The sequence below is a fragment of the Homo sapiens genome, chromosome 8, assembly GCF_000001405.40.
Source record: "Homo sapiens chromosome 8, GRCh38.p14 Primary Assembly".
Classification (NCBI taxonomy): domain Eukaryota; kingdom Metazoa; phylum Chordata; class Mammalia; order Primates; family Hominidae; genus Homo; species Homo sapiens.
The window spans coordinates 14,799,270-14,820,835 of NC_000008.11; the positions used below are offsets into that span (position 1 = coordinate 14,799,270).

General features: G+C 36.8%; 1 protein-coding gene across 4 annotated transcripts in view, besides 3 other annotated features; it reads right to left on the reverse strand.

Annotated features, from left to right (window-relative positions):
• The window catches only part of SGCZ (sarcoglycan zeta), a 1,153,587-nt gene that overhangs the window by 714,425 nt on the left and 417,596 nt on the right, over positions 1 to 21,566 (reverse strand). The gene's annotated exons all lie outside the window — the stretch shown is intronic.
• Positions 3,333 to 4,065: an enhancer, noted in NCBI's record as "OCT4-NANOG-H3K27ac-H3K4me1 hESC enhancer chr8:14660111-14660843 (GRCh37/hg19 assembly coordinates)". NCBI's record gives its function as "activates a minimal SCP1, AML or CMV promoter by ChIP-STARR-seq in naive H9 embryonic stem cells {active_cell/tissue: H9 hESC(naive)}" and the evidence as "EXISTENCE:reporter gene assay evidence [ECO:0000049][PMID:30033119]".
• Positions 3,528 to 3,728: a silencer, noted in NCBI's record as "peak6907 fragment used in MPRA reporter construct". NCBI's record gives its function as "represses an SCP1 promoter by STARR-seq MPRAs in K562 erythroleukemia cells {active_cell/tissue: K562}" and the evidence as "EXISTENCE:reporter gene assay evidence [ECO:0000049][PMID:32103011]".
• Positions 4,066 to 4,797: an enhancer, noted in NCBI's record as "H3K27ac-H3K4me1 hESC enhancer chr8:14660844-14661575 (GRCh37/hg19 assembly coordinates)". NCBI's record gives its function as "activates a minimal SCP1, AML or CMV promoter by ChIP-STARR-seq in primed H9 embryonic stem cells {active_cell/tissue: H9 hESC(primed)}" and the evidence as "EXISTENCE:reporter gene assay evidence [ECO:0000049][PMID:30033119]".

The window sequence follows — 21,566 nt, forward strand, 5'->3', positions numbered from 1 at the left end:
CTAAACTTTTTATTTTTCTATTCTAGTTATATGCTCTTGAGCAAAAAGTTGGATGCATTTTGTAAAAATCAACCCTTTAAATAAAGATTCACTTTAAGAAAAAGGCAAGACAGAATTTGATTTCCAGGAGAACCCCAATTTTCTTTCAGTATCTGATGGAGAGTACATCAGCTACTTGTAACAGAGCCCCAGTGACCTCTGGTGAAAGAAAGATCCAGTATTAACCAGTCTAACCCTGGCATGGTGATTCTGCAAAGTCAGGAGAGACTCAAGACTCTTCCATCCTTTCACTAAACTATCCTTAGCATTTGACCTCTGTACTCAAGTTCCCCTTCTGAACTAAGAAGTGAATTGCAAGTCCACAGGACTTCACCTACTAGGCAGAGGAAGGAGGGAGCGGCAAGGGCAAAATAAAAAAAAATTTTTTTTTTTAAATTTAAAAAGCGTAGAACCCTCCAGCTGAATCTACTCCTTTGAAGCAACCTTCTCTAAAACCTCATGCCCCTTTGCCTACTTCTCGCTGGCCTGCAGTAATTCACATGACCACACCCAAACATAACCTAGCAAATGTAGTCTTATAGCTAAGCATTGGCTTCTTTTACTAGAGAAGAAGAAGAAATGGAGGTTGGATACACAAAAAGCAGTCTCTGCCTTTCGTTGATAAGTATTATAAACAGAGGTATTTTTGTAAAAAGTATTTTCTTAAAACAATTCATAATGTTTAACAAGAAAAAATGTAGATAATTGGTAAACCACTGTTTTGCACAGAGGTTAGCTATTCCAAAACCATTATGTACTCTACCTATAAAGAATATTCTTCAGGATTAAATCTCACCATTGAACCAGCATCTACACTTTTTCAAGATGTTAAGTTGTATATTTTGCCTCCTTTTTTTCATGGCACACTATAAATGTTACCTGGTCATTTGGAAATATGTGATCCTAACACATGTGTTTAGGAAAAATCAGGTACATTAATTTTAAATACCAAAAAGACATAAAAATGTCTATCACTCTAGTGGGTGTGTCTAAAATTTTTTTAATACTTAACCTGTTGTACCTCATACTATAGATAGAGCAAAAAGAGGAATAGGGAAGGGGTTAATCCTGGCCCATAAGTTTATGTAAGGTGCATATGAAAATGGAAAGGAATATTTTTTATTTTGCATCTCTATGAATTTCATTAGCTACTTGATATGGTTTGGCTGCATATCCACCCAAATCTCATCATGAATTGTAATTCACAGGTTTTGGAGGAGGGGCCTGGTGGAAGGTGATTAAGTCATGTGGGTGAACTTCCCCCATGCTGTTTTCCTGATAGAGTTCCCAGGAGATCTGGTTCTTTGAAAAGTCTGTGGTGTTTCCACCTTCTCTCTTTCTCTCCTTCTGCCATGTAAGACGTGCTTTGCTTCCCTTTCCCCTTCTGCCATGATTGTAAGTTTCCTGAGGCCTCCCCAGCCATATGGAGGAGTGAGTCAATTAAACATTTTTTCTTTATAAATTACCCAGTGTCTAGTATGTTTTATAGCAATGTAAGAACAGACTAATACACTATACTACTCAACATTAAAAAATTCAAAATATAGAGGTGGAATGCTAGTCTCACTCATATACCACACAAGCAAACAAAAAACATCAGAAAAAAGATGACAACCATAATGGTTTTATCTTCTGCACATGTTAGTATTTTAAACACCAAAGGATATCAAGAACAAAGGAAACTAGCTCCGAATACCAGGTTAACTTTATAACTATAATTTCAATTATGAGTGTTTCTGAATTATATTGAATGACTGATAAGTTAGAAAGTCTTTGAAGAAAAGTGACCATTCCTTCCAGCCAATCTACAAAAGATCTATGAATACCAAATAACGAAGATCGCATTGGTCATGTATATGTGTGTATGTGTGTTTGTGTTGTGTGTGTATGTGTACACAAACTCAGTGTATTGAAACAGAGAAGATAAACAGAAATTATATGGGTTGGTCATTACATCAGCAAATATATGCATATGCTACTGGCATTTCATTGATATTTGAATATGTAATCTCATTTGCTTTACTAAGGAAATGAATCATTTTTATGAGGAAAAAATCCTATGAAGTATGGTAAGTGATATACTTATTTTAGAATATTTACAAAGCAAATTATAAATTTGGAAGATGGATGTAGCACTATATAATGTAACAATAATTTTCCTATTAAGATTAAAATGCTTAAACTCCTAAATATAAGAAAGTACAGACAGATTATGTTTATTTTCACCTTGTTTACTTCCAGGGAAAGAACAGATCGTAAAGTAAATGGCCAAGGTAAGAACGGACAGAGATCAGGGAAACACCATATAGAATGGCAAAAATAAATGTGAGGAAATTATTATAGACTTGCATTTGGAGTTGGGGGAAAATCAGGCAGAGACTAAAGGATAGAAAACTTGCTAGAAGGATCAAGATCATGTGGTCAACAAATTAAGAAATGACTGAAATGATTCACTGACAAAAAATCAAAATGTTCTGAGGTAAGGAAAAAGAGCACCAAATTTTTATGTGCTTTAAAAATATACAAGAGGATGGTTAGAAAAGCAGACTGAAATATGGGGAAACCTGGCAAGTTTCCTAATGAGAAACTGACAAACTGGAAATCAAATCCCAATCATAGCACATGGAAAGCAGTCCAAATATGAGAGAAGGGATGTTTTCTAGCAAAGCTCAGTCCTGGGCAGGAGCACTTTTAAAATATGGAAAAGAAATTAGGAAAGAGAGTAATGTTGGAAGATGAACAAATCTTCCCTTGAGAGAAAAGAGCATGTTGGAAATGACGGGTTGCGTTAACTATGATTTAGCCAGAAGGTTGAAAATCTTGAGTTGAATTTGACCTCTGTCATCAGCACTCTAGAAAGGCAAGGGGAAAACCTTGGAGTCAGCTACCTACACCCTCCTCCTATCCTTTGCATGGGAATAAGAAAGACAAAAATTTAAACCCTTAATGTGTATTTAGAAGGTGCTTCCCCATGAATAAATCACTAAGCTGCCATGCCTAGGATATGACTAAAAATATAAATAAAACATAAATAAAAATGTGTTCTTAACAAAAGAAAACAGCTGCCTGGATAATTCTAGCATTTTGGTGACATTACACTTTAATTCAACCCTTTAAAAAGTAATTTTAAGCAGTGACACTTCATAAATACCCCCATTCAGGGGATACTCCCATGGAGGAACCATTTTATGAGCCAGTGATTCAAAATCACCATTTAATTAAAATCAGTAATGATCATTTGCTGCCGCCTTTTTTATGAATAAGATGGTCTGCATTTTACACACATACAAACACAGAGAGAGAGAGACAGAGAGAGAAACACACAAATATATATATATTTTCCAAAAATGATTTTCCTCCCCAAAACTAAATATACAAAACATTGCTTATTGAAACTGGTATATATTATGGTGTTTTAGCATGTGTATTGTGGAGCCCTAAGGAGTTAAAAGACAAATTGAAAAATGGGCTTAGATGAGATAAAGAGGAGCGAATGTTCCAAGAAATAGGGTGAACTGCAAATGGCTCATTAACACCAAAGCATCCTGTTACAGGCACTCAACTCACAGCCCACCTGCACTGAAGCTTCCTGTCTGCAAGCATTCAGCTAAAGCAGCAGGACCTTATAAAACTCCTCCTCCAGCCCCATTCTTGTTTGTAGATAGCAGACAGCCTTGACTCTGCTGTCTTGCCCACTGCTCCCTTGGAACGTATTTTTTCTTTAATCAATCTGACCTTTTAAATTTATTCCTGTATTACTAAATTATTTTACCACCCATGGGGCCTCAGGCAGTCACTGACCATGACATATATGTTAAGGGGACTTGTATAACAAATAAAATATTGCATATGAATCATTTATTTTTTAAAAAAGTGAAATAATCACCTTTAAAAGACCAAACTGTCCCGGGAGGAGCCAAGATGGCCGAATAGGAACAGCTCCTGTCTACAGCTCCCAGCGTGAGCGACGCAGAAGACGGGTGATTTCTGCATTTCCATCTGAGGTACCGGATTCATCTCACTAGGGAGTGCCAGACAGTGGGCGCAGGTCAGTGGGTGCGCGCACCATGCGCAAGCCGAAGCAGGGTGAGGCATTGCCTCACTCGGGAATCGCAAGGGGTCAGGGAGTTCCCTTTCCTAGTCAAAGAAAGGGGTGACAGACGGCACCTGGAAAATCGGGTCACTCCCACCCGAATACCGCGCTTTTCCGATGGGCTTAAAAAACGGCGCACCACGAGATTATATCCCGCACCCGGCTCAGAGGGTCTGACGCCCAGGGAGTCTCCCTGATTGCTAGCACAGCAGTCTGAGATCAAACTGCAAGGTGGCAGTGAGGCTGGGGGAGGGGCGCCCGCCATTGCCCAGGCTTGCTTAGGTAAACAAAGCAGCCAGGAAGCTCAAACTGGGTGGAGCCCACCACAGCTCAAGGAGGCCTGCCTGCCTCTGTAGGCTCCACCTCTGGGGGCAGGGCACAGACAAACAAAAAGACAGCAGTAACCTCTGCAGACTTAAATGTCCCTGTCTGACAGCTTTCAAGAGAGCAGTGGTTCTCCCAGCACGCAGCTGGAGATCTGAGAACGGGCAGACTGCCTCCTCAAGTGGGTTGCTGACCCCTGACCCCCGAGCCGCCTAACTGGGAGGCACCCCACAGCATGGGCACACTGACACCTCACACGGCAGGGTATTCCAACAGACCTGCACCTGAGGGTGCTGTTTGTTAGAAGGAAAACTAACAAACAGAAAGGACATCCACACCGAAAACCCATCTGTACATCACCATCATCAAAGACCAAAAGTAGATAAAACCACAAAGATGGGGAAAAAACAGAACAGAAAAACTGGAAACTCTAAAACGCAGAGCGCCTCTCCTCCTCCAAAGGAACGCAGTTCCTCACCAGCAACGGAACAAAGCTGGATGGAGAATGACTTTGACGAGCTGAGAGAAGAAGGCTTCAGATGATCAAATTACTCTGAGCTACGGGAGGACATTCAAACCAAAGGCAAAGAAGTTGAAAACTTTGAAAAAAATTTAGAAGAATGTATAACTAGAATAACCAATACAGAGAAGTGCTTAAAGGAGCTGATGGAGCTGAAAACCAAGGCTCGAGAACTCCGTGAAGAACGCAGAAGCCTCAGGAGCCGATGCGATCAACTGGAAGAAAGGGTATCAGCAGTGGAAGATGAAATGAATGAAATGAAGCGAGAAGGGAAGGTTAGAGAAAAAAGAATAAAAAGAAATGAGCAAAGCCTCCAAGAAATATGGGACTATGTGAAAAGACCAAATCTACGTCTGATTGGTGTACCTGAAAGTGATGCAGAGAATGGAACCAAGTTGGAAAACACTCTACAGGATATTATCCAGGAGAACTTCCCCAATCTAGCAAGGCAGGCCAACGTTCAGATGCAGGAAATACAGAGAACGCCACAAAGATACTCCTCGAGAAGAGCAACTCCAAGACACATAATTGTCAGATTCACCAAAGTTGAAATGAAGGAAAAAATGTTAAGGGCAGCCAGAGAGAAAGGTCGGGTTACCCTCAAAGGGAAGCCCATCAGACTAACAGCGGATCTCTCGGCAGAAACCCTACAAGCCAGAAGAGAGTGGGGGCCAATATTCAACATTCTTAAAGAAAAGAATTTTCAACCCAGAATTTCATATCCAGCCAAACTAAGCTTCATAAGTGAAGGAGAAATAAAATACTTTACAGACAAGCAAATGCTGAGAGATTTTGTCACCACCAGGCCTGCCCTACAAGAGCTCCTGAAGGAAGCGCTAAACATGGAAAGGAACAACCGGTACCAGCTGCTGCAAAATCATGCCAAAATGTAAAGACCATCGAGACTAGGAAGAAACTGCATCAACTAACGAGCAAAATCACCAGCTAACATCATAATGACAGGATCAAATTCACACATAACAATATTAACTTTAAATGTAAATGGACTAAATGCTCCAATTAAAAGACACAGACTGGCAAGTTGGATAAAGAGTCAAGACCCATCAGTGTGCTGTATTCAGGAAACCCATCTCACGTGCAGAGACACACATAGGCTCAAAATAAAAGGATGGAGGAAGATCTACCAAGCAAATGGAAAACAAAAAAAGGCAGGGGTTGCAATCCTAGTCTCTGATAAAACAGACTTTAAACCAACAAAGATCAAAAGAGACAAAGAAGGCCATTACATAATGGTAAAGGGATCAATTCAACAAGAGGAGCTAACCATCCTAAATATATATGCACCCAATACAGGAGCACCCAGATTCATAAAGCACGTCCTGAGTGACCTACAAAGAGACTTAGACTCCCACACATTAATAATGGGAGACTTTAACACCCCACTGTCAACATTAGACAGATCAACGAGACAGAAAGTCACCAAGGATACCCAGGAATTGAACTCAGCTCTGTACCAAGCGGACGTAATAGACATCTACAGAACTCTCCACCCCAAATCAACAGAATATACATTTTTTTCAGCACCACACCACACCTATTCCAAAATTGACCACATAGTTGGAAGTAAACCTCTCCTCAGCAAATGTAAAAGAACAGAAATTATAACAAACTATCTCTCAGACCACAGTGCAATCAAACTAGAACTCAGGATTAAGAATCTCACTCAAAGCCGCTCAACTACATGGAAACTGAACAACCTGCTCCTGAATGACTACTGGGTACATAACGAAATGAAGGCAGAAATAAAGATGTTCTTTGAAACCAACGAGAACAAAGATACAACATACCAGAATCTCTGGGACGCATTCAAAGCAGTGTGTAGAGGGAAATTTATAGCACTAAATGCCCACAAGAGAAAGCAGGAAAGATCCAAAATTGACACCCTAACATCACAATAAAAGGAACTAGAAAAGCAAGAGCAAACACATTCAAAAGCTAGCAGAAGGCAAGAAATAACTAAAATCAGAGCAGAACTGAAGGAAATAGAGACATAAAAAACCCTTCAAAAAATTAATGAATCCAGGAGCTGGTTTTTTGAAAGGATCAACAAAATTGATAGACCACTAGCAAGACTAATAAAGAAAAAAAGAGAGAAGAATCAAATAGACACAATAAAAAATGATAAAGGGGATATCACCACCGATCCCACAGAAATACAAACTACCATCAGAGAATACTACAAACACCTCTACGCAAATAAACTAGAAAATCTAGAAGAAATGGATAAATTCCTCGACACATACACTTTCCCAAGACTAAACCAGGAGGAAGTTGAATCTCTGAATAGACCAATAACAGAATCTGAAAATGTGGCAATAATCAATAGCTTACCAACCAAAAAGAGTCCAGGACCAGATGGATTCACAGCCGAATTCTACCAGAGGTACAAGGAGGAACTGGTACCATTCCTTCTGAAACTATTACAATCAAGAGAAAAAGAGGGACTCCTCCCTAACTCATTTTAGGGAGTTAGCATCATTCTGATACCAAAGCCTGGCAGAGACACAACCAAAAAAGAGAATTTTAGACCAATATCCTTGATGAACATTGATGCAAAAATCCTCAATAAAATACTGGCAAAACGAATCCAGCAGCACATCAAAAAGCTTATCCACCATGATCAAGTGGGCTTCATCCCTGGGATGCAAGGCTGGTTCAATATATGCAAATCAATAAATGTAATCCAGCATATAAACAGAGCCAAAGACAAAAACCACATGATTATCTCAATAGATGCAGAAAAGGCCTTTGACAAAATTCAACAACGCTTCAGGCTAAAAACTCAATAAATTAGGTATTGATGGGACATATTTCAAAATAATAAGAGCTATCTATGACAAACCCACAGCCAATATCATACTGAATGGGCAAAAACTGGAAGCATTCCCTTTGAAAACTGGCACAAGACACGGATGCCCTCTCTCACCACTCCTATTCAACATAGTGTTGGAAGTTCTGGCCAGGGCAATTAGGCAGGAGAAAGAAATAAAGGGTATTCAATTAGGAAAAGAGCAAGTCAAATTGTCCCTGTTTGCAGACGACATGATTGTATATCTAGAAAACCCCATTGTCTCAGCCCAAAATCTCCTTAAGCTGATAAGCAACTTCAGCAAAGTCTCAGGACACAAAATCAATGAGCAAAAATGACAGGCATTCTTATACACCAAGAGCAGACAAACAGAGAGCCAAATCATGAGTGAACTCCCATTCACAATTGCTTCAAAGAGAAGAAAATACCTAGGAATCCAACTTACAAGGGATGTGAAGGACCTCTTCAAGGAGAACTACAAACCACTGCTCAAGGAAATAAAAGAGGATACAAACAAATGGAAGAACATTCCATGCTCAAGGGTAGGAAGAATCAATATCGTGAAAATGGCCATACTGCCCAAGGTAATTTACAGATTCAATGCCATCCCCATCAAGCTACCAATGCCTTTCTTCACAGAATTGGAAAAAACTACTTTAAAGTTCATATGGAACCAAAAAAGAGCCCGCATCACCAAGTCAATCCTAAGCCAAAAGAACAAAGCTGGAGGCATCACACTATCTGACTTCAAACTGTACTACAAGGCTACAGTAACCAAAACAGCATGATACTGGTACCAAAACAGAGATATAGATCAATGGAACAGAACAGAGCCCTCAGAAATAACGCCGCATATCTACAACTATCTGATCTTTGACAAACCTGAGAAAAACAAACCATGGGGAAAGGATTCCCTATTTAATAAATGGTGCTGGGAAAACTGGCTAGCCATATGTAGAAAGCTGAAACTGGATCCCTTCCTTACACCTTATACAAAAATTAATTCAAGATGGATTAAAGACTGAAACGTTAGACCTAAAACCATAAAAACCCTAGAAGATAACCTAGGTAATACCATTCAGGACATAGGCATGGGCAAGGACTTCATGTCTAAAACACCAAAAGCAATGGCAACAAAAGACAAAATTGACAAATGGGATCTAAGTAAACTAAAGAGCTTCTGTACAGCAAAAGAAACTACCATCAGAGTGAACAGGCAACCTACAAAATGGGAGAAAATTTTCGCAACCTACTCATCTGACAAAGGGCTAATATCCAGAATCTACGATGAACTCAAACAAATTTACAAGAAAAAAAACAAACAACCCCATCAAAAAGTGGGCAAAGGACGTGAACAGACACTTCTCAAAAGAAGACATTTATGCAGCCAAAAAACACATGAAAAAATGATCATCACTGGCCATCAGAGAAATGCAAATCAAAACCACAATGAGATACCATCTCACACTAGTTAGAATGGCGATCATTAAAAAGTCAGGAAACAACAGGTGCTGGAGAGGATGTGGAGAAATAGGAACACTTTTACACTGTTGGTGGGACTGCAAACTAATTCAACCATTGTGGAAGTCAGTGTGGCGATTCCTCAGGGATCTAGAACTAGAAATACCATTTGACCCAGCCATCCCATTACTGGGTATATACCCAAAGAACTATAAATCATGCTGCTATAAAGACACATGCACACGTATGTTTATTGTGGCACTATTCACAATAGCAAAGACTTGGAACCAAACCAAATGTCCAACGATGATAGACTGGATTAAGAAAATGTGGCACATATACACCATGGAATACTATGCAGCCATAAAAAATGATGAGTTCATGTCCTTTGTAGGGACATGGATGAAATTGGAAATCATCATTCTCAGTAAACTATCGCAAGAACAAAAAACCAAACACCGCATATTCTCACTCATAGGTGGGAATTGAACAATGAGATCAAATGGACACAGGAAGGGGAACATCACACTCTGGGGACTGTTGTGGGGTGGGTGGAGGGGGGAGGGATAGCATTGGGAGATATACCTAATGCTAGATGACAAGTTAGTGGGTGTAGCACACCAGCGTGGCACATGTATACATATGTAACTAAGCTGCACAATGTGCACATGTACCCTAAAACTTAAAGTATAATAATAAAAGAAGAAAAATAAAAAAATAAAAATAAATAAAAGAGCAAACTGTTTCAAAGGAGAAATGTGTAAGAAAATTTCATCATGAATATAAGATATGCCAGGATCATGATGAAATGAAAAACTTTGTTTTGCTGGCACTAAATGATTGTTTAAACAATGATGAAGACATTGATAGAAGGATATGAAATGGTCTTTGCCTTGTGTTAAAAACACAAAGTGTCCTGAAGACAAATCCAGCAAGAATTTTTTCGGCATAGAAACCACTTGGTATGGTAATAAAAATTACCAATTCTCCATTTTATTTCCTTAATGAAGTTTTGACAATATTTCAATGGTTGCTATCAAATTATAACATTATTTTGAGGTAGAGCACAGTAGAACAAATACTAGACCCTCAATTGTCTATAGCTTAAAGTGAATGGATTTAAGACTATCAAAATTCATGCATCTATAATTTAAATCTGAAAATGGAAATGTACATCCAAAGAAGTGACCGCAGTACCCATGAGGGAGGACTGTGCACTATCTGGGAAAAACTTTCTATGATATTGATAATACAACAGAAAAGTCAACATTAGCAAGATACTGCAAAAGTACTATTAATTCTGATGTTTAAGAACGCAAGCCATAAGAAATGTTTTGATTAGTTAAAAGGCTAAGATTTAAGAAACTATTTACAGCTGATTAGATGGATATTTAGATACTTAGAATCTATTTAACTATATGGTTTTTCCTTATTTTAAGAAACTCAAGCTGGCATATACATTAAACACTTGACATATAAATCAAGAAAAAGTATATCTTTTAGATCTGTTTTTAACATACCACAGACTATTTTAGAAAAAGTGTGAAATTTCAGTGCTGAAGGTAAGGAAGTAATGGCAAAAAAATTTCAGGATTAGAGACTAAAAATGAGCTCTTATTATCATGGCATGTTACATAAAAAAGAAATAACAAGATACTTAATATAATTAGCAGATTGTGAATTTGGTAAGGCAATTTTTTTCTGTTACTGAAAATCAAAAATTCAAGAAGTTTTAGAACTTTAAATCAAATTGTGTTTGTTAGCCTGAAGTAAGGTATTGCTATAGATATTTGAAGCAATGAGAAAGATCATATTCTATTTTCCTAATAGAAAAATTCATATTAACATTTTTTAAGAAATGGTGCAGCAGTGTGTATGCTTTGCTGATTTTTTTAACCAAATACTTCCACTAACACACCATCATACTTAAAAATATAATAATGTATCAGGAATAAGAATGAAGCTCCAAGTTTCAGTACCACAGGCACAAAAAATAAATGTCTGTTTTGAAAGTGTTATTTATTATCAAACAAAAATCCAAGGTATCAAAGGTGTTTTACATTATAAACTTAAACAACATCAGTTCATTGGATATTGCACTGGAGATGGCTACAATCAGCAAGAGAGAGCTAACTGGATACATTATTTTTCAACTTCTGGTTCAGTGACTTCCTGGCAGTAGCTTGAAATCAGCTATACTGATAGTATTTTCACAACAGAAATTGGTAAACACTATAAATTCAGGTTTGTTTATTTACTTGTTTGTTTATTTGAAGAGACTCTTATTAAACATTGACCAACACACCACTGACTATAATACAAAATATTTTAAAAGTATTTTGTGCATAACATAGAGAATAAATCCTCCTTTAAAATGCTATCATCAATCCCCTTCACTTGGAAAACAATTTTAAAAGGATGTCAGTAGTTTATATCATTTGGAATTAAATTTTGATGTACAACATTTTTAGTACATCTTTCCCCCAAATTTCTAGATTAACTGTAGTGTCCTGAAATAGAAGAAAGCTAAGCTTATATAAAAAAAGTTTTTAAAAACTGTCAGGATTTTCTGTAAGAAATATAGAACACAGAAATAAACTGCAATCCAATCTTAATAGAATAACTTCTCTGTTCATCATAAACTTAGATTTCAAATTTGTTGTGTTCATTAAAATGAATTCAGTGTTTCATTTAGTGTCCTTATAATAAATAAATGCTGTGAACTGAAACTTACAATAAAAATTTATTCCAATAAAATTTAACTTACATCAGTTTATACATATCAAAACCCACCTATAAACTTTATTTGAATGATGAGCTGTAGTGCTTTAATAAAGTTAAAAAGCATTGCTCTACTCCACTGGCTTTGTTTATAGATGAAAAATAAAACAGCACAAAAACAAAAACAAAAACAACCTGGAGATCGTCAGAGATACTAAGTGACTTGCCTACCATGAAACATTCGCTGAAAGACACTGCATCTTTTTTTTTTTTTTTTTTTTTTTTTTTTCGGAATCACACTCCACTCCTTATAGTTGTTATGGGAGAGGGCCAGAAAAAGAGAAGGTTTTGTTTGAATAAATCAAATTTTCACATAAATTTCATAGAATCTGGAGAACAGCCATTAAAAGAGTACATTGTCTCCTCTCCCCAAAAGCACAGGTTCTGACTATTAGACGCACTGCCGTGATCATACAGAAGCAATTCCAGGTAACAGAAATGACACATGAAGATATTCACTCAAATCATTTTCAAAGCTGCTATTCCAATTCCCTTTCAGATCAAATAGAATCTTGGAAACTGAATGTTTTTAGTGGAACCACAAAGATATCACTGCTTTTATTTCAATTATATATAAGCATTTGATTTTTAAGTAATTATAACTATTTTCTGCATTCATCAATTAATTATCCTGAGCTGGAGTTCTCATCTGTACCCTGAGAATGATATGCAACTCAGGAATGGGTATGGGATGAGTATGGAAAGGGATTATAGGGGTAAGACAGGGCCAAGCTTATAGTAAAGGATCAGCAAATATTAATTTCTTAAATTCAACTGAAACAGTACAAATTTTGAAGCAATTTATACATTTTAAAGATATTTTAAAATATTATATACAAATGTAAAATGTTACATAATGATATTAAAATTTATATAAATATTTTTAAAGCAATTTTTTGGGAAAAATATTTACTTGTAAATCAATTTATTTTTTCCAACATTCACATTCATTTAACTTTGAATTGGCATCTACAGAATATTGTCTCTGCCCTGCTAAAAGGAACAAAGATATACAAACATAGTTGGCAATAAATTTAATATTCAAATTGCCTATGAATTGTTACATAAATCTGTTAGCCATGTCAGATGTTTTGAATATATTTATTACAGAGTATTTGTTTGTCAACAAGGTAAAACACAGGCCTGGAATATAACCCCAAAGAATGACTCAGGAAAACATCACACGTGAACATTTCAGTCTGCTCAAACGTTGGCTTCATTTGAATTCTTTCCATAATTTGAGACTGAGTATCTTGTTTTGTAATATCATAACCTAAATGGCCTCCAAACACCCTAAAATATATTCAGCACAAAACTATATAAGTGAGCTAAAATATCATATAATTCTTGCGCATTATAACTGATGAATAATTAAGATGATTCTGGAGACAATCAGACGGTTTAAATGACCATTCTTCATTCCTGTCTTCTAGAAGATTTAACTTAACAGTGCTTTTATAGTTATTGCTGTGAGTCTTATTTATTAATAGATAAGCTTCCACAATTATCAAGCATGCTTATTAAACTTGAAAAAAGCATTGCATTTTGCAAACCTTCTGACACTAATGCTGAGAAAACTCTTCCTTTGAGGATATTCCCTAATGTTCCTGAATAATATGCCAGACTTATATAATTATATAACTCAAGAAGCATGTTCCCAAGGCCCTGGATGTTATATCTCAGTAAATCTGAAGAGAGTCTAAAATAAATTTGAATAATTGAAATGTTAAATACTCTTAAATAACAAAAATTTTAAAGTTTGAAATATTTTGTTGACTATGAAAACCTGATGCATTGCAGATACTGGGAGAGCCATCACCATCTGACTGCCTCAAAGAGTTCAAAAACGATGAAGATTTGTTTTAATGCATAAAATGATCCTAATATGCTAGCGATTTACCAGTCATCTTTGGAAGAGTTTCTCCCTCAATATACAGGAATACATGTACATTGTATTCACGTCGTATGAAATTTCATTTTTTAATATAATCTCTATTTTAAGAGTTAGAAAAATAAATCTGAATGTTAATTGACCCACTTAGAGATGAAACAAAACAGACAAAATGCAACCAAAAGCTTATGGAAGAGAGAGTGGGCAGGTTAACTCATTATAGCTAGAAATGCAAATCTGATAAATTGTTCGTTACACAACTCTGTTTGGGGAAAATATATTTTTATTTTGTTCAATAAAATGAAGTCAAATAAGACTAACAGGGAAAATCGTAATACACACTTTTGGACTGAGAAAATCTTGCTCTGAAATTCCAGCTCCAGTACACAGAAGTAGCTAGTCTTTCCAACTTTGTAGGTCACCATTATGTCACCTATAAACTTAAAATAATAATAAAGCAAGGCCGCGAGCAGTGGCTCACGCCTGTAATCCCAACACTTTCGGAGAGGGAGGTGGGCAGATCACCTGAGTTCAAGAGTTCAAGACCAACGTGGCCAACATGCAGAAACTTCATCTCTACTAAAAATACAAAAAATTAGCCAGGCATGGGGGTGCATGCCTGTAATCCCAGCTATACAAGACACTAAGGCAGAAGAATCACTTGAACCCTGGAGGCAGAGGTTGCAGTGAGCCAAGATAGTGCCACTGCACTCCAGCCTGGGCAACAGAGTGAGACTATGTCTCAAAACTAACTAAGCAAATAAGTAAATAAAAACACATACCCACAAGTGCTACAAAAGATAACTAAATCATGTCTATGGAGGCCCTAGCACAGTATGCAGCACTTAATAGACATGTCTTTTATGATGTGCCTGTTAAATAACTTAAAACAGTTATATTAAGAACAGGATATAGGAAAAAGCATTTTACTTTGAGTTTGAAATAATTAATAAGTTACAGAATAGAATAAATAAATATTTATGTTAACGTCTCATCTCAGAACAAATAAGCCATATTTGCGTTATTTTAAAAGCCTTAGGGGACCTGACTACGCCTCTACCTCCTTAAATGGTCAGCCTAAAAGATGGGGTATAGAAGGGACTGAAGCTCTAAAACTAGGGCCCTGTTTGAGTTTTTCCTAAGCGTGGAGAGGAGGTAGAAGAAGGAAGGGCAAAGATTCAAAGAGCTACATCCCCACTTGCACAGAACTAGGAAGGCAGGGCCAATAGCACTTTCCAGTATAAAGTAAGGGAAACAAAAGGCACCGGAGGCTCCTAAGAGGGCCCCCAGAAGTGCCATAAGAATTGAAGGCAGGAACCAAGTATGTAAAGCAGCATCTCATAGCCAAAGAAATAATTGACCTTCTATCTATCTTGTTATTTGGCCCTACTTAAGTATAGGATTATTTTAAGAGTTCAGAGAAGATGGGAGGACGCAAGCTGGGAATGAATTTCTTGCCAGCTCGGCAGGTAGGAACTTGGAGAATTTTTTGTTTGTTTCTTGAGTTGACTTCTCTCATCACCAAATCTCATCATTTCCTTGCAGAAATCGGTTAAGACTATTTCTTTTTTCTTGAGCAAGGTATTATGACTGAAAACAGTACTTTTTCAGCCAACTATGGTAATTTTATAAAGAGGGCAATGTGTCCGTATAACAGATTAGGAATACTTGTAATTTTACCAGCTACATATAGTTGCTATTTCATCCTAATTAATGTTTGCTGTTTCTGTAATAGGACATTAAAAAAAGAAAACTACTGTTCTGAACTCGGTTACTTCTTCTGCCTCCATTTTTTCTTGTTTCTGATGTGCCTGATTTGAAAACTGAGATTCTCTGATATGTGGTAATTCACTTTATTTATTGGAGCAATTTGTCCCAACATGACATCCTGTCAAAAGGCAGGGTATTTGTTATTATTTTGGTTATACTTCAATTAGTAAGTGTATGTTGAGAAGAAAGTGCTCAATGTCTTTGTAGACTGCTGAAATTTTTCTGCAGAATAATTCATTTACTTGAGTAGATTATCTCAATTTTCTTTTTTTTTTTTGAAATTTAGAAGCAAATAAAAAATAGAAGGCAAAGAAAAATTTGTTTCATAACCCTTATACATAGCGGAAAGTTGATAAAATAAAATTAATTATTACATTTGCCAGTTTTTCAAGCAACTTGTATGATTTTTTTTTTTTGCATGTGGTTCATAACTACTTACTTCAAAACAAAAGGGACTAGATGGATGTAGAGATGGGAGAGTAAGAATAAAAACAGGACCTTTGTGATGAAAATATTTCTTCCGGCAGTATATCTTCCAGGAATAAATCACTATGAATTCTTTAGACATTGTCTGCACCTATGCCAGCACATACTTAAATGTCACAATAATATTATCACTAGTACCACACAGAGTATGTATAGAAATATGCAGTACCTATTCCTGTTCAAACTACTATGTCATTATCAAGGTAGCAGTGTGAACAACTATTCCATTCAGCATGAGGAGTCTAACCAGACCCAGGAAACAGAAAAGTGACTAAAATATTACAAATGAGGGCAATCTATTATACTATCTGATAATATGTGATGTTATCTGTGGTATTATGGAATAAAACTGATGTTATGTGTGAAAACACAGGAGATTCTTAAGACTTCACTTGGAGTAACTGTATGCAAAATAAAGCCTATCAAAAGAAAGAATGCTGTCTACCTAATTTATTTGATGTTGGTCCACCCTCTTTAGAAGCATCATCCAATAAAAATATAATGTGAGCCATTATACAATTTTAAATTTTCAAATCACTTTTTAAAAAATAAAATGAGGCCAGTGAAATTAATTTTAACAATATATTCCATTTAATGCAGTATGTCAAATATATTTCAACCATTTCAACATGCAATTGGTATTTTTAAAAATATTGACATGTTTACATTTTGTATACTAAGTCTCGAAGATGCAGTGGGAATTAGACACTTTCATCATCTCTCAATGCAGTCTCGACATATTTCAGATATTCACTACACACGTGTGAGTGGTTATTCGTTTGAGCAGCACAGTTCTACAGCTCTTCAACGTATTTCTGCCTGTTCTATGCTCTGATGAGGCTGGAGGAAACATTACCAGCCCACAGTTCCTTAAAAACTTTTACAACACTTTGACAATTAGTTAAGTGTGTTATGAGTGTGTAATACAGGATACCTCAGACTTCACTGGTTAGTCAGAAAGTACAATGTTATATTCACTGATTTCTGTTCAGTAATTTTCCCTTATATGTGTAGGTATATAACTGTGAAATTCAACTTTCTGTTCATCAGTATAATTAACTATGTAAATAATTATCATAAAAAGCATACAATGGAATGATGTTGGATGGGAACAAATTCTCAAGAGTTATTAATTTCTCAGTTATACTAAGTTACTCTAGTTCAGTTGTTGGACTCTGAGGTGAATATAAGAAATTAACCATGTTAAAATCACAGAATAATTTGGTAATACCGAAGTCTCCAACAGAAGAAGTATACTGATAAAAGAATTGTAAGCTCCATATATCCTCCTTTATATATGTTTATAGCCTTAAAAATGAACTAACTTAATTAAATTGTATTAATTTAATTCAATTACCAAAATGCACCAAACAGCAAATGTATCTGCCAAAAAGGCAAAGAGAATATGTTATATTTTCCATGTCTGCACTTATCAATTTTAGTCCTAACACCAAAATACATATATCACAATTACTTTTTAATTAGACTGTGTCTAAGCTCACAATTGATACCAGAGTTTCATTAAGAAACTGAAGGTCAAGTGGTACCATCATTCCTCAAATCACATTAAAAGTTTTGTCCATTTCATGATCTATAGAGATAGCTTCTTCCACACTATTTTGGTTCATCTCCCCTTCCCAGTAGTTATACCAACACTTCATTACATGTTGCACACTCAGTAACATCCTTTTCCTTAAGGGAGACTGCCTCCTTCTGTGTGTCACAGAAGCCCAGGATAACGCCATAGAGAGGGGATGGAGGCACCTGCCTCTGCCACATAGTCTCACCTAACAGGATCAGCTCAGCATCATGGAGGATTTTGTCTTACAGGGAAAAGGTAAGCAGATCTCCGGTGGTCATCACTACTGCCACAAAATACAAGCAATCTTTACTATAAGAGAGCCCCCAGTCCTCACAGGCCCTGAATCCAGTTTGAAGAGTAGCCAGGGGCTGCATCGCTTCAGAGTAGGAGGCCAACTTAGGAGCCCTTACCCTTGCAACCTAAGCTGCTACAGCACAGCACCATCTTGAAACTAGACCCATTTCTAGAGTACTTTCTGCCCTAGGGATCAGTTTCAACTGAATTCCCATTCCTGAGACACCATTGTCACTATACCACATTCACACAGGTGCCTACAGCACTACAACTCTGGATGCCTGGAGCCTAGGCCAGATGGAATTACCAAGATCTCAATGTCTGAACCCACATGGCACCACCCTCATTCCGCCAGGGAACAACTGCACTTGCAACATGGAGAAGCTGCTAAATAGCCAGCTGACTGACTTGCCCATGTGCGCTCATTGTTGTGCACAGCCCATGTACAACCTGGCAAACCAGCACACAGCTACATCCAGTTCAACAGTCAGCCCTGTGGTTCCCTATGCCCCAACCCCAGATCATTGCAGAGCCACCTGAATCCACTGTGCCTGCAAACACTCACACCTGGCTCAACAGGCAGTCCCTTAGTGGACCTGTCCACTTTAATATATTGCCAAAGAGGCACCTCGCCCAGATATGCCTGCAGGTACATTTACTTATCCCAATAGTCTGTATGACAGCAATTCTGACTCTCTGGACAGAGTGCCATGAAGCCATCCGGCCCTTCTGTGCCCAGCCCACCCACACTGGGCAGACCTCCAATCTTGCAGTGACCCCAACTCCCTGGAGAGACAGCTGCACAATCTCCCAGCTGGTCACACTCACACATTCATGAGCTCAGCTTAACAGCCAGCCTGTCAACAGCCACTGCCTCCCCAGAGAGCCCACCAGCCAGCCTGTTAGGCCTCTGTACACACACATGTCTGGCCTGACGACTAACCTGATACTCTCACCCCAAGCAATACTGTGCCACCACCATCACAAACTGTACAGCCTACCCACTGAGGCAATTGCAGACATTGCTAATGAGAATTATAGCCAAAGAAACTGCACAGAGACCACAGAGGCTAGCCAGAACCAAAACCAACATACCATAACAAATCGACACCAAAGAACCCATCCATAGGAAAAATTCTTCCCCTACAAAAGTTATATCATTGTAAGGAAACAGCAAACACGAAAAGTCAAGGAAACATGATGGCTTCAAAGGAGTACAATAAGTCTCCACTAACAGAACCCAAAGCAAAGGACATTTACAGAATATCTGAAAAGGAATTCAAACTGATAATCTTAAGGAAATTTCATGAGATACAAAGGAACACAAACAAATAATTCACTGAAGTCAAGAAAACAATTTATGGTCTAAATGAGAAATTCAACAAAGAGAAAGATGTAATTAAAAATATCTTAGAGTTGAAGAATTCTATGAAGGAAATAAAAAATACAACTGAGAGCTTCAAGAACAGATTAGATCAAGCAGAAGATAGAATTTCTGATTTTGAAGACAGGATTTTAAAAATAATCTAGTGATGGGGGCAAATAAAGAAAGCCTATGGGACTTATAGAATACCACTAAACAAATAATCTCATTACAGGTATTCCAGTTGTAGAAGAGATAGAAAAAAGAACAGAAAAGTCATCTAATGAAATAATTTCTGAAAACATTCTATGTATTGGGATATGGATATCCAGATTCAGGAAGCTCAAAGATCTGTGGATAGATTCAACCCAAAAGAACCTTCCAAGGCACATTATAATCAAACTCTCAAAAGTAAAAGACAGAATTCTAAAAAAAAAAAAGTAAAAGTAAAAGTAGAATTCTAAAAGCTGCAAGAGAATAGTGTCAAGTCACATATAAGGGAACTCCCATTAGACTATCAGAAGATTGTGTAGCAGAAATCTTGCAGGCTAGGAAAGAATGGAATGAAGAGCTGAGAATTCTCTCAGATTTAACTTGTCTGGGAAGGTCTTTACTTTTCCTTCATTTACGACGGACAGTTTTCCTGGAAATAGTACTCTTAGCAAATAGTTTGTTTTTTCCTTAAGCACTTTGTATATATCATCCCATTGTCTCCTAGCCTGCAAAATTGGCCTTATAGGGAAGTCCAATCACAAGACTGGCCTTATAGGGAACACTCAAGAAAGTGCTACAACTGCAAACATGAGAAGGATAATTATCACAAAACACATGAAAGTATGAAACTCTCCAACAAAGATAAATGTATAATTCAATCTTAGAACACCCTAGTGAAGTAATGGTGCAGTGTAAATCTTTCAATACTCCAGTATGAAGGATTAAAAATGCTCAAAAACAATAGCTCCAAGTAGTGGCTAAGGAACACACAACAGATAAATAAGTAAATTAGAGCAACAAAAATATTCATTGTAGAGAAGAGGGAAAAATTGTAGAGTATTTCTATGTGACCAAAGTCAAGTTGCTATGAACCTAAAATAATCCATTTTAACCACAAGATTTTATGTTAGCACAATAGTAACCACAAAGAAAGAAATTAAAGCAGATACACAAATAATAAAGAGAAAGGAAACAAAGCTAGCTCCACAGAAAACCACCAAACTACTAAAGTAAACAGCCACAGAGTAAGAAAGGAACAATGTACCTATAAAAGAACCAGGAAACAACTAACAAAATGGCAGGAATAACTCCTTATCTGTCAAAAACCACCTTGAATATAAATGAATTAAATTGTCCAATTAAAACATAAGGTATAGAGTGGCTAAATGGAGAAAAAATGGAGAAAAAATTAGACCTAACTATACATAGCATGCAAGAGACTCACCTAATAATTAAAGACAAACATCAACTAAATGGAAGGCATAGAAAAAGACATTTCAGGCAAATGAAAACCAAAGTCAACATGAATAGCCATACTTATAAACAGACTTTAAGTCAGAGACTGAAGAGACATCATTATACAATGAAAATGGGATCAATTCAATAAGAGTATATAATAGTTGCAAATATATATACACCCAACACTGGAGCACCCAGGTATATAATGAAAATATTATTACATCTAAAGGAATGGACTGCAATGAAATAATAGTATAGGACTTGAGTTCCCCACTTTCATCTAGGAAAAAAGTCTACAAAGAAAAATTGGAATTAAATTGTACCATAAACCAAATGGACTTAATGAACATTTGTACAGCTTTCCATCCAACAGCTACAGAGCACACATTCTTCTCAACTGCATTTGGAACATTTTCCAGGATAGATTACATGTTAGATCACAAACGAGTGTTAACAAATTTTAAAAATCTGAACTCTTGTAAGTATCTTTTCTAGCCACCATGGTGTAAAACTAGAAGTCAACAAGAAAAACTTCAGAAAATTTACAATAACATGGAAATTAAACAACTTGTTCCTTTGAAACCAATGGGTTAATGAAGAAATTAAAAGGGATCTAAAAATTTTTCTTGAGACAAACAAAAAGGGAAACAACAAAACCTATGGAACATAGCAAAAGCATT